Below are 13,232 nucleotides of genomic sequence, written 5' to 3'. Positions count from 1 at the left end.
TACCCTCTTTTCCATTCTTTGGTTTCAGAAGCTGAGCCACTGTGCCCCTGCCCTGGGCTGACTTCTCCGTCCATCATGTCCTTCCCCATCCTCAGGGCTGTCTTGCCTCACTCATTCCCATGACCTTTTCCTATGGGTTTAATAAGTACTCATTGAATGAATGGGCTGAAGATGACAGCGGGCAAACTCCAATGCGTTTTACTCCAGCCTTCTGGAACACAAAGGTAGAGAGTATTGGGTGTGGTGGAGGAATCTACTTTCATGCTAGGACATTCAGTAGGCAGGGCTCTAAGTTAAGGGTGCCTCATGCCAACTAACTGCACAGGTGCTAATGGGAGTGAGCGTGTCTCCTGTCTCAAGGGTAACACTTCTGCAGTGGCCAGGCCAGAACCCACTCAGCATCTTTTGGAGATTGTGGGTAAATCTCCCTCCCTCTCTCGGCCAATTGTTGTGGGTGGGGCTAAGCAACAAATCACATTCAGTGGCCATAGTGATTGGCCAGGGGTGGGGCATGTGATCCAATCAGAGCCAAGGAGACTAGGCTGGACACCAGAATCTCTAGCCACAGAGAACTGGGGACTTGAGAATGTAGCCAGCACCAAGGGGTGCAGCCCAGACGTGGAGAGAGGGAAGGTGGTTTTCTTTTCTCCATTTTTTTTGAAACAGCGTCTCACTCTGTCATCCAGGCTGGAGTGCAGTGGTGCAATCACAGCTCACTACAGCCTAACCTTCCGGGCTCAGGTGATCCTCCTGCCTCAGCCTCCTAAGTAGCTTGGACTATAGACGCAGGCCACAAGGCCCAGCTAAATTTTGTATTTTTTGTAGAAATGGGGTTTTGCCATGTTGTGCAGGCTAGTCACAAACTCCTGGGCTGAAGTGATCCTCCTGCCTCAGCCTCCAACAGTGCTGGGATTACAGGCATGAGCCCCAACACCTGGTCTGGTTTTTGTTTAATTGTAAAAAAATACATAACAAAATTCTCCATCTTAACCATTTTAGGTGTACAGTTCAGTATTTTTAAGTATAGTCTAATGGCTGTGAAACAGATCTCTAGAACTTTTTCATCTTGCAAAAGTGAAAATATATTCTCATTAAATAACTCTCCCTTCTCCTCTCCTCAGAGCCGCTGGTAACCACCATTCCCCTTCTATTTCTATGAATTTAAATACTCTGTCCCTCATATAAGTGGATTCATACAACATTTGTCCTTTTGTGACTGGTTTATTTCACTTAGCACAATGTCCTTAGGATTCACCCATGTTGTAGCATGTGTCAGAATGTCCTTCCTTTTCATGGCTGAATAATATTCCATTGCATGGACAGATCACATTTTATTTATCCATTCATCTGTCCATGGACACTTGGGCTGCATTCACCTCTTGGCTATTGTGCATAATGAACAAACAGAGAAGCTGGTTTTGAGCCCTGGCTCGCGTTGCACCCTGCACTAACTGCTCAGTACTGTGAGGCTAGTTTGAGCTGGTTTTGTCACTTGTAGCCCCCACAGTGCTAATGAGAGGGTCTCTAAAGGGGCCAGTGCATGATGTGTAAATGCAGCAAAGACTGCAATCAGCTCTTTCAGTTAAAAAAAAAAAGTTTTATTTTGTTATTTATTTATTTATTTATGGAGATGGAATTTTGCTCTTGTCACCCAGGCTGGAGTGCAGTGGCGTGATCTCGGCTCACTGCAACCTCCGCCTCCTGGGTTCCAGCGATTCTCCTGCCTCAGCCTCCCAAGTAGCTGGCATTATAGGCATGTGCCACCACGCCCAGCTAATTTTTTGTATTTTTAGTAGAGACAGAGTTTCACCATGTTGGCCAGGCTGGTCTTCAACCCCTGACCTCAGATGATCCACCCGCCTTGGCCTCCCAAAGTGCTGGGATTACAGGCATGAGCCACAGCGCCCGGCATTGTTTGTTTTTTGAAAGCATGTTGATTTAGGGTGGCTTTAGTTGGAAGGTTAATGTCAGTCTTCTCTACTTAACAGGCCTACTCTATCATAAGCAAGGTCAAGGTTTTCTCAGAAATTGCTGCTGGTAACTACAAGGAAACAGTGAGGAGGATAAACAAACATAAAAAAAAGACTCCTGAAAAACTGGCTCCTGGCTGAGCTCACATTAGAATGTACATAGAGTTTGGGATCAAGGTCAGTTATCAACAAGTCTGGCTTAGAAATATTAGTTAAAAAATACTTGCTAGTGCCTTCTTTCTTTCACTCTCTTTCTTTCTTTCTTTCCTCCTCTTTCTTTCTCTCTGACCATATGGTGTGTGGCGTGGTGGTTTTTTCTTTGTTTATTTTTGAGGCCGCATGTGCTTTTCCTGATCTCTCCCACACTGTCTAAAATAGCAGGCTGCCAACCACCTGGACCACACCCACGGCTGAATTTCTATCAGCTTGAATAAACACCCAACCAGTAATGTACTCGAGAACTCCAAATCCATTGTTTCCGGATGATCTCCTTGTTTCTTGTGTTATTACGCTAACATCTGCTTCTGACCCTGTCAAGGCTTCAGGGTGAGAAGGACACCCTAAAACGCCAAGGGAGTTTGCCCAGAGTCCTACAGGACCCATGCATTCTTCCAGGAAGCCCTGGAGGCTGTGGACAAGGTGGGGAAGTAGACCTTGCCCTTGGAGCATCTGTCATGTTTTCTGCTATCTGCAATTTTTTTTTTTTTTTTTTGAGATGGAGTCTCGCTCTGTCGCCCAGGCTGGAGTGCAGTGGCGCAATCTCAGCTCACTGCAAGCTCCGCCTCACGGGTTCATGCCATTCTCCTGCCTCAGCTTCCCGAGTAGCTGGGACTACAGGCGCCCACCACCATGCCCGGCTAATTTTTGTATTTTTAGTAGAGACAGGGTTTCACCGTATTAGCCAGGATGGTCTCGATCTCCTAACCTCGTGATCCGCCCGCCTCGGCCTCCCAAAGTGCTGGGATTACCGGCGTGAGCCGCTGTGCCTGGCCTCCAATTCTTACCACTTGGCTTTGAACCACCAAGGAGAGAAGGCTCTAGGTGCTAGGCTGTGCTGTGCCCTTTGTATATGTGGCCCCATCTAATCACGAGAATAACTCTGGGGTAGGGGAAGCATTTTTACCCACATTTTGTGCATTAAAGGAGCAGAAGCTCAGTGAGGTTCAGAGACTTGCCCCAGGTCCTGAAGCCTGGAAGTGGTGATGCTGTCTGACTCCAAACTCTGTGCCCCTGGAGCTTCCAGGTCATTTGAAGTCATGATTTGCACTTGCTTTCCATACTTGCAAAAGGATCTTAGATGATTGGCTAATGAAGAATAGATTTTCTGAGTTAAAAAATGAAAATGAGAAATAGATGGTGTGAAAATCCCCAAGATGGTGCATGGACAGGATTGATGTGTGGACAGGATTTTCCAGGAACGTTATAGGTTCCCTCCTGCAAGTCTGAGTCACAGGGTATGTGCAGCACCCTGGATGCCACTCAGAGAACTGCAGTCTCCCCCCAGGCAGGGCTGTAGCTGGCTCACTGCTGTGCCAGAGGAGAGCTGGGGCCTGTTGGTGCTGGCTCATGAGAGCCGATGAGTAAATGTTGAGAATTCTGTGAGCTGGCTGATAAACACAGCCATTAAAAAATAAATTATATATACTTACAATTAAATTATACCAGAAACAACAGTAATAAATACTTAAAACTTAGCCTCCTAATTATTTTACTATATTTCATGATAATCTGTGCTCTTACAGTTATTCTTCCTACTGCGTCTGTGTGTTGGCAGTGCTGTAGAGTGATGTGCTGCTACCCAGCTCTCTGTGGCTCTGTGTTAGTGAAGCTTGAAATTGGCCAGGATGGTGAGGTAAGAGGTGGGACTCAATTCTGGAGGTTTGGCTCAGACACCAGACCAAATTGAGGACCAGCTAAAACAGGGCCGCAGTGGAAGCAGCTTTTCATAAGACACGCCCACCAGTGTGCCATGTCAGTTTCGCATTGCCATGGCAACACCCAAAAGGTACCACCCCTTTCCATGGCAATGACCCAACTACCTGAAAGGTAATACCCTTTTCCTGGAAATTTCTGCATAAACCACCCCTTCGTTTCTGTGTAATTAAATGTGGATATGAATATGACTGCAGAATTGTCTTTGAGCTGCTACTCTGGGCGCACTGCCCATGGGGTAGCCCTGCTGAGCAAGTAGCAGCCCCGCTCCTGCCACTGTGCACTGTTGCTTCCATAAAAGGTGCTGTCTCACACTGCTGGTTTGCCCTTGAATTCTTTCCTGGGCAAAGCCAAGAACCCTCCCTGGCTAAGTCCCAATTTTGGGGCTTGCCTATTCTGCATTAATGGGAGTATTTACACCACAGAAATCAGGGAATGTTACAAATCAGGGATTGATTTTTTGTTTTGTTGCTTGTCTATTCTTAGGAAGGTGTTGGATAAAATATTAGTAATACAGATGAGATTTAAAAGTGTTTTATGTCTGTAGCCATCACATTATGAGTAGCACAAAAGATATGGAGGAAATTTTCTTCTGATATTCAAAAACTATTATCCAATAGTTTCTTCTGGTATTCATAAACTATGATAGCAAAGAAGGTGCTCATGTCATTGATGAACATGTGAGGTTCCAATACAAATCTTTCTCATTTCACTTTCGTCTTACTCACAAAGGTAAACAAATATATCCACCAGTATTCCGGTTGGAAACATTCATCAGTTGCTACCATAAGTTGGCTAGGGATACAAGAGTTTGGCAAAAATCAATAAAAACCCTCTGTGAGAATCAATGGCTCTATGGAATTTATGATAAATTTGCCATAAAGAGTCCTGCATATTTTGTTATTATTTATAAAGAATGTGCTACACATTCTTTGTGTCAGTAAGCTTTATACTATACCTGCATACTTTACTTTTTCAGACACTCATCAGCATAGCACTGGCTGGACCCAGTGCCCAGTGAAGGGCCTGGCACACACTCTAGGTGCCTGCTGACCGAACTGAATTGAACAATTGGCAAACAGAGCCAAAGTTAAAAAATACCCTTCAGCTGATTCTGGGGCTGGGGCAGGGAGAATACACTATGAGCCTGGGGCATCTTGTAACAGCAGAAAGTGAGTAAGTGCTCAAAAACAGAAGGTGCGGGCCCTGTTAGAGGGATAAGCACCAACCCAAAAGCGCTCCAGTGGCCAAGGCTAGGACAATATGAGCTACAAAATAAATAACATCAGGTGGATTATAGCACAGAGAATCAAATAAAGACAGAGGAGTCCGTACTGATATAGATACATGAATGAGTAAATAATTCAATGGCAGAGAAGAGACACTTCCTTACAGAAGAATGTAACACACATAAGTAATCCCCAACCAGGAGGTGGAGCTGAGTCTTAATCAATGCCCCCTTCCTCCCCTCTCCTTTTTTTTTTTTTTTTTTTTTTTTGAGACAGTGTCTCACTCTGTCACCCAGGCTGGAGTGCAGTAGCGCGATTTTAGCTCACTGCAACCTCCGTCTCCTGGGTTCAAGCGATTTTTATGACTCAGCCTCCCGAGGAGCTAGGATTACAGGCATGCACCACCACACCTGGCTAATTTTTTGTATTTTTAGTAGAGACGGGGTTTTGCCATGTTGGTCAGACTGGTGTCAAACTCCTGGCCCCAAGTGATCCACCCACCTTGACTTCCCAAAGTGCCAGAATTACAGGTGTGAGCCACCATGCCTGGCCAGGTTATTTAATTAAAAAACAAAAACAAAACTCTTTTAAGGGACCTTTGAGTTACCAGAAAAAAATAATACAAAATCCACATGGAACCACTAATGTCGCTTATTCATACAGGTAGTCCTCTAGGTCTACTTTCAGCCTCTACTTCCTCTGATCTTACTCAATTTTACCCTAATAACTACACAATTACAAGGACAGGAAGGGGCAAGAAAGAAGGGGGAAAGGAGGCACACTGATCCCAGCAGAGAGCAGGAACTGACTGCCAGACCCTAAAACGCAGACAGAAGAGCCCCAGGGCAGCAGAGGGTGCTATGTGCGGCCCAGGAAGACAGCCTTCTCCATCTCAACAGCCCCTGGCGGGTGCCAGGATTCAAAATGGGGCAATAATTCTAAGTCTCCAAGAAAAGGATCAATTATGTCTAGGATTTTCCATTCCAGAAATTGGGATTATACATGTTAGAACACAGAACAGCCAAGTTACATACTATTTCCACGTTTTAGAACTTAAAGAAGTAGGTCCCTTTGAGCTATTCAAAAAGGCCATTTATCTGGATTTTGGCCAGGTGGGTTAGGGGACACCTAAGTGCATTCTGGCCCATCTTACTTTCCATCTTTGTAAACCTTCTAGCTTAAAGTTTTCCTTTTCCTTTAAGTTCTAATTCATTTCCTGGTCAGTCCATAAAATGGGAAAGAGAATCTAAGGAGAAAACACTTAGATGTTTGCAAACTGCGTTTTCTACCCTAGACTCGGCCTGCTGGAGCTCAGTCTTGCCAGATTGAGTGACTGAATGAACCAATGCATGATCAACTAACTTAGGAAAAGCGGCGATGTGGCTGCAGTTTGGGAAGAGTGTGACCTGCAGGAAACAGCCACGGTTGATCCCTGGGGTTTTGGGCCGGGTCGTCCGTGTTCTGTTTCACCAGGATGCTAAGGCTTCCACCTGCGCTCCTCCCTGCAGTCCCCTAGGCTGTCTGCACACTCTGTAGACATCTGAGGAGGAAGCAAACTTCAGGAGTCCTTCTGTGTTTTTGCCGAGGACATTGTGCCTGAGGCTGTCTGCTGCCCCATGCCCTCCACTTCATGGGCTTTGGAAAATGTCCTTTGATATAAAAAAACCTGGTCTCAGGATCTTTCATCACATCAGCAGGTCCCCTCCAAGAGCTGTAACAGCACAGTGTAGAGGAAAATACTACACGATCGGGATGGGAGATGACAAAGCTTGGCTATCGAGACGTTTCTTCTGAAGTGTGCCATGCTCTCTGGTTCTTTGTTCAATCCCCAGTTACTCGGCCTGGTTACAGGCAAAGCCACATTCTTCTCAAGAACGGGGAGTACTTAACGGTCCCATGAAGATGGGAACTGCCACCTTCCCTGGGATGGATGACTAAACCCCCAACTCTGTGTCCTTCTCATCATACACCGAGGAGAAAAACAAGCCACGCTACTTCCTTGGAGACCTGCCTGGAACTTCCCTGATAGAGAATGGATTATTCATCATTTTCTTACCCCAAGCTCCTAGCACGGAATCTCATTACGGAGGCTCAGCTTAGGTAGGAGGAATGCTTTCTTGCCATGGGCTTTTTTTTTGTTTTTCCTCCCTACATTGCATCCATCTCCTGCATGGGTGTGGGGGAGACACCCCTCCCTCCCACAATGGGGCTCATCCCCTCCACTCCAGGGGAGGGAGTATGCCCCAGGCCTGGCCAGTCAGAGCATTCCATGTCTCTGGCCTCACTGATTGGTTCGGGGATAGTCATGTGATCCAAACGAAGCCAATGAAGACGCTTGCTCTTTTCCTAGAGCTGCTGAGTTTGGAAGGTGCTGGGGTTGCCAGTGGCCACCTCATTACAGGTGGGGCAAGAATCTGCTTGAGACTGTGAAGCTCACAAAGATGAAAGAGATTCCTTTTTTTTTTTTTTTTTTTTGAGTTTTAAGGATCGGAAAGTTTAATAGGCAAGAAAGAAGGAAGAAGACAGAAGGAAGAAACTCCCGGTACAGAGAAAGAGGGAGGGGGGGCTCCAAAGCCGAGAGAGGTAACCCTAACAGACAGATTCCTGAGCATCCCTTGAGCACCTGGATCTAGCCAGGCCTGAAGCTGATGCTTCTGGCCTTTTCAGTTACATGAAAAATAACTTCAGCTACTTCTTCTTCTCCTTCTTTTGCTTAGGCTAGTCTGAGTTGGGTTTCTGACACTTGCAAACAGTAAAATTTCCTGGAAAATATGCTTATTGACACTTGAGCACAAATATCACTATGTACTTAGAATGAAAGGTGTTAATGCGAGTTCTGACTTGTTTGAGTAAAACCCACCAGGCTATAATCATGCACCAAATTTACCTTTAAACTTGTAAGAGTAAAGCAGTGGCCCCAGAGAAGAAGTGACTTAAGACCAAGGAACCAACCACAGGTAGTAAAACATTAGGTGGAGAAATTTGGAACAAATAAACAGTTCTCTAGCTACAGCAGCCTCTGGACTATAAACCTCAAATTTCTGTTTCAAAAGTTATCCCAGGGAAAACATTCCAAAGTTTTAAAAAAAAACTTCCAGTTGAAGAAACAGGTAAAATTTATAAATATTCATCTCTTGTGTATATTATACATTAATGTCAAGCATATTTATCAGATGTATCAATATGATTATATTACTATATATGCAAATGCATATACATGTATGTGTATATTTAGAACCACATATCTCCAAGTTCTGTTTTAAAGAGGTAATGAAGGCGGGTAATCCCAGCACTTTGGGAGGCCAAGGTGGGCAGATCACCTGAGGTCAGGAGTTCCAGACCAGCCTGGCCAGCATGGTGAAACTGCGTCTCTACTAAAAATACAAAAATTAGCTGGGCATGGTGGCACACACCTGTAATTCCAGCTACTTGGGAGGCTGAGGCATGAGAATTGCTTGAACCCAGGAGGCAGAGGTTGCTGTGAACTGAGATCGTGCCACTGCACTCCAGCCTAAGCAACAGAGTGAGACTCCGTCTCAAAAAAAAAAAAAAAAGAGGTAATGAAGACTGTTCAAAGCGTATTTTCCCTTTTTCCTATTCCTCAGTTAACTAAGTAAACTATTAACCAGCGCAGTTCCTAGCAGATAGTGGGGGCATTCATTCTTTCTCCTATCCCCAGAATCTCCTATCCTCCTTTTTAGCCCTTCTTTCAGACACTGGGTAAATGAAAGAGGCAGAATAGCATAGTGTTATGAGTGGAGGTTGGTAAACTTTTGCTAAGAGAGCCAGAGAGTAAATATTTTTGGCTTTGTGTGCCATATGATCTCTGTCTACTCAACTCTGCCATTGGAGCAGAAAAACACTGGTGGGCATGGAGGTGTTACAATAAAACTTTATTTATAAAAACAGGAGATGGTCTGAATTTGGCCCATGGGATGTAGTCTGCCGACCTCTGGTTAAGAACATGGGATTTAGAATTAAGCAGAATTGGTTAATCTACCTCCTCTGCCTCCTACCATCTATAACCCCGAAAAATGTGTTACGTTTTGTGCCTCACCTGTAAAATGGAGATGACAACAGATACTTCTTACTTTGCGAGAACTAAATGAGATCATATATATTAAGTACTTAGGACACTTCCTGGTACGTATAGTAAATGCTCATTAAACATTAGCCGCCAGACATTATCATCACCATCAAAAAAGAAACTGCAAGGGGGGAACTGAGTTTGTCCAGGAACTTCAGCAGCATCCCTGGTGAAAAGATAGTGGAGGCGAATGAGGAAGCCCCTATCTGAAACTGCATTTTCTTCTATCATCGGTGGCTTTCATTTCTACCCACACGATATATCATCCCCCATGAGCATGTGAAGTGGCAGGCTGGCAGCACTGCAGTGAGGAACTTGCCTGAGCTCTCAGGTGACCGAGGTGCTCTGGGCTGTTGGGAAAGACTCCCAGACCGGGACTCAGGAGACTTAATCCTGGTTCTGGCCATAACTGATTACACAATCTTGGGAACACTGCAGAACCTCTTTGGGCTTCAGTTTATACAGTGATGGGATGGTCCCAAAGGCCTGTATGCAAATTCTGAAGGGGGAAAGGGAGCCTGTGGTTAATGTGTTCCTGCCCGGCAAAAGTTGGAAACTGAGGCTCAGAAAGGCTAGATTGCCATTGGAGTTTGAACTTCAGTCTATCGTACTCCAAAGCCTTTGTGTTCTTCACTGCACTCCCAAAGAGCTTCCCCTTTAAGGCAGTGAGTAGCCAGGCATATGGGCACTCTTTATGTTGGGCAGGATGTCATGAGGTTGCAAGAGGGTCGAAGGACTGCATCCAGAAGTCATGTGGGAAGCTCTGGCTGGAATGGGAGCAGGGCAGAACAGGCCAACGTAGGTTTCCTTACCTAGCTGCTTTATAAGAACAGCACTAGTGTTCACAGGACAACCCTCACTCACAGCTCCTTTCCTGGAAATCATAAAGCACTAAAGAAACCAACAAGCAAACATCATAATGGCAGAAACAACGCGGCAAGCACATCTGACTTTGTGACTTGGATTTCACACGCCTGACACTTAGGCAGGGAGTCAGTGTTACTACTCAACAGTTGCTTCAGGGCATCGCAAATGGCCCTGTAGGTTATGCCTCGCACAACTCCAGGGGGTGCCATCTTTGTGGACTCTACTGTGAATGGTGACTGGAGTTGTGCAAGGTGGTGGCCCTAGGCTATACTTTTTTTTTTTTTGAGAGAGTCTCACTCTGTTGCCCAGGCTGTGGCATGATCTTCGCTCATTGCAACCTCTGCCTCCCGGGTTCAAGCAATTCTTGTGCCTCAGCCTCCTGACTAGCTGGGACTATAGGTATGTGCCACCACGCCTGGCTAATTTTTTGTGTTTTGGGTAGACATGGGGTTTCACTATGTTGGCCAGGCTGGTCTTGAACTCCTGGCCTCAAGCGATCCTCCTGCCTTGGCCTCCCAAAGTGCTGGGATTACAGGCATGAGTCACCACGCCCGGCCCCTAGGCTATACTTTGGCAAAAAAGCTATGATATATAACGTGTACTCTTAAGCATATCGTGGGTGCCAATGTACTTTGTAAACCAAGAGTTTCTTTCTGTTTTTCTACCTTGTATGTCACTCCATGGGTAAGTTATTTGCAAAGGCATCCACCTGGTAGTTGGGAGGTCTTGGGAGGTTTTCTGTCCATGGGAAGGCTCACAGTGGAGGCAGGTGGCTGCTAGCGTGCTCCTCTTACCTTCCTGCTATCATAGGCACCAGATACTGGGCTAAGCAATTTGCAAACAATGACCCGTTTACTACTACAGTAACCCCACATGAGGAACTATTAGGATTCCAATTTTACAGAAATGGGAACTGAGGCTTTGAGAGGTGAAGCAACTTGTGCATGATCCCACAGCTGGTCAAGAGCAGGGCAGAACTGTGTGGGGCAGACTCACTTGAACTTCAGGACACCCACGCTAGCCACTGTGATGTCTACAAACACATTTGGGTCTCTAACTTCTGCCTCCACCTCCCATTTCCTATTGAAATGGCTGTCACGTCCCTCTCTGTTGGTTATGGTCACCACAAAGCCTGAAATAAATTTTTCTGTTTGGGAACTCTTTCTTGGGAAAAGAACAGCTAAGCCTTACAATATTAGGACAGTCCTCTTCCAAAGGAAACAATCCTTGAAAACTCTACCGCGGGGAAGACACAGCCCCCTCTCTAGGGACTCAAAGAATCAATAAGAGACAAGAGCATGCTGGAATCAAGACAGCTACACATTTCTTAGAAAAACTGGACCCCAAAATGAGATGAGATTTGATGAGAGACGCTCTTCACTACCTCCTTTTTTCTTTTTTATAGCTCACAGGTCGAGGTCATCAGGCAAATAGAAAGGGAAGCCATCAGAAAGAGAAACTCAGTCCACATGGCTGCCCTCACTCAGGCCTGCAAAGGACCCTTTGTCACTAAGAGGAAGCCTGCACGAATGTCTCTTGATCTAGGAATGCTCTGAAAGGGAGCCGAGAGCAGTTTTGTGAGGATGGGGTGGAGGCGGACAGGGGGTCTTCTGAGGAAAACCTGGCAGGGACAGAGGCTCGGCTTGCCCCCTGGAAACGCTCGGGCTGCTGTGAGGTACTCTGGGCATGGGCCAGGGGGCAGATGTCTGGCTGCCAAAAGTCCCTTAGCTAATAAAGCAGGAGGCAACTGCATGTAGAAATAAGAATTTTTAAAATTCATGTACAGCCAAGTGACTGTAAAAGTGTGCTTTGTTGGCCAGGCGCGGTGGCTCACGCCTGTAATCCCAGCACTTTGGGAGGCTGAGACGGGCGGATCACGAGGTCAGGAGATCGAGACCATCCTGGCTAACACGGTGAAACCCCATCTCTACTAAAAATACAAAAAATTAGCCAGGCATGGTGGTGGGCACCTGTAGTCCCAGCTACTCGGGAGGCTGAGGCAGGAGAATGGCGTGAACCCGGGAGGCTGAGCTTGCAGCGAGCCGAGCTCGGGCCACTGTACTCCAGCCTGGGCGACAGAGTGAGACTCCGTCTCAAAAAAAAAAAAGTGTGCTTTGTTGTCTTTGAAAACCAGTTGATGATACTGCTGCACCTAGCAGCTGACCCAATGGTTTTCTCCCAATTGTTACCTGCAAGTGGAGACAGAGTTTAATTCACAGTGACTAGCTGTGTGGTCCTGGGCAAATTACTTAACCTCTCTGAGTTTCAGATTCCTTGTCTGCAAAATGGGGATCATGAGAGAGCCCATGCCCTAGGCTGTTGCATTAAATAAGGGAAAGCAGGTAAATGCCTTAGCACAGTGTCCCTCCTGCTCCTCCTCATTATTCCATTATAATAACTCTACCGTTCTCATTCACTAACAAAATATAAACTATTATACAAAACAGAATCTTTTTTTTTTTTTGAGGCGGAGTCTTGCTCTGTCACCCAGGCTGGAGTGCAGTGGCATGATCTCGGCTCACGGCAACCTCCACCTCCTGGGTCCAAGCAATTCTCCTGCCTCAGCCTCCAGAGTAGCTGGGACTACAGGCGCCCGCCACCATGCCCAGCTAATTTTTTTTTTGTATTTCAGTAGAGACGGGGTTTCACCGTGTTGCCCAGGCTGGTCGCAAACTCCTGAGCTCAGGCAATCTGCCCGGCTCGGCCTCCCAAAGTGCTGGGATTACAGGTGTGAGCCACCATGCCTGGCCAAAACAGAATCTTTTATAATACATTCTTTTGCTCCTTCAGAAGTGAAGGTTGGACATCTTTACCACTGGGTGACACACTTATGTGATTAAAACAAAATACCCCTCCCCAAATTTGTACACTTAGGTTCACAGCTGCATCATTTGCAATAGGCAAAAGGCGGAAGGAGCCCACGTGTCTACCCATGGAAGAACGGATAAGCAAAATGTGGTCTCTCATACAAGGGAGCATTCTTCAGCTTTCAAAAGGAAGGACAGTCTGACGCATGCTACAACATGGATGAACCTTGAGGACTTGGTGCTGAGTGAAACCAGCTAGACACAAAAGGACAAATATCGTATGATTTCGCTTATACAAGGTACCCAGAGTAGTCAGATTCACAGAGACAGGAAGTAGAAC

The 13,232-nt window shown here is 46.0% G+C and overlaps 1 protein-coding gene across 40 annotated transcripts in view; it reads right to left on the bottom strand.

Annotated features, from left to right (window-relative positions):
* FHAD1 (forkhead associated phosphopeptide binding domain 1) overlaps positions 1 to 13,232 on the bottom strand; it is a 166,490-nt gene that overhangs the window by 115,850 nt on the left and 37,408 nt on the right. Inside the window, exon 2 of one of the 40 annotated variants that reach the window (XM_011540592.2) lies at positions 4 to 130. The exons of the other annotated variants lie outside the window; for them this stretch is intronic. Coding sequence (XP_011538894.1) covers positions 4 to 15 — 12 coding nt within the window. The 5' untranslated portion in view covers positions 16 to 130. The remainder of the gene's footprint in view (positions 1 to 3; positions 131 to 13,232) is intronic. 40 annotated transcript variants of the gene reach the window in all.

This window comes from Homo sapiens, chromosome 1 (genome assembly GCF_000001405.40).
Source record: "Homo sapiens chromosome 1, GRCh38.p14 Primary Assembly".
Taxonomy (NCBI): domain Eukaryota; kingdom Metazoa; phylum Chordata; class Mammalia; order Primates; family Hominidae; genus Homo; species Homo sapiens.
The sequence above is the reverse complement of the archived record's forward strand: the minus strand, read 5'-3'. Positions and strand labels throughout refer to the sequence as shown.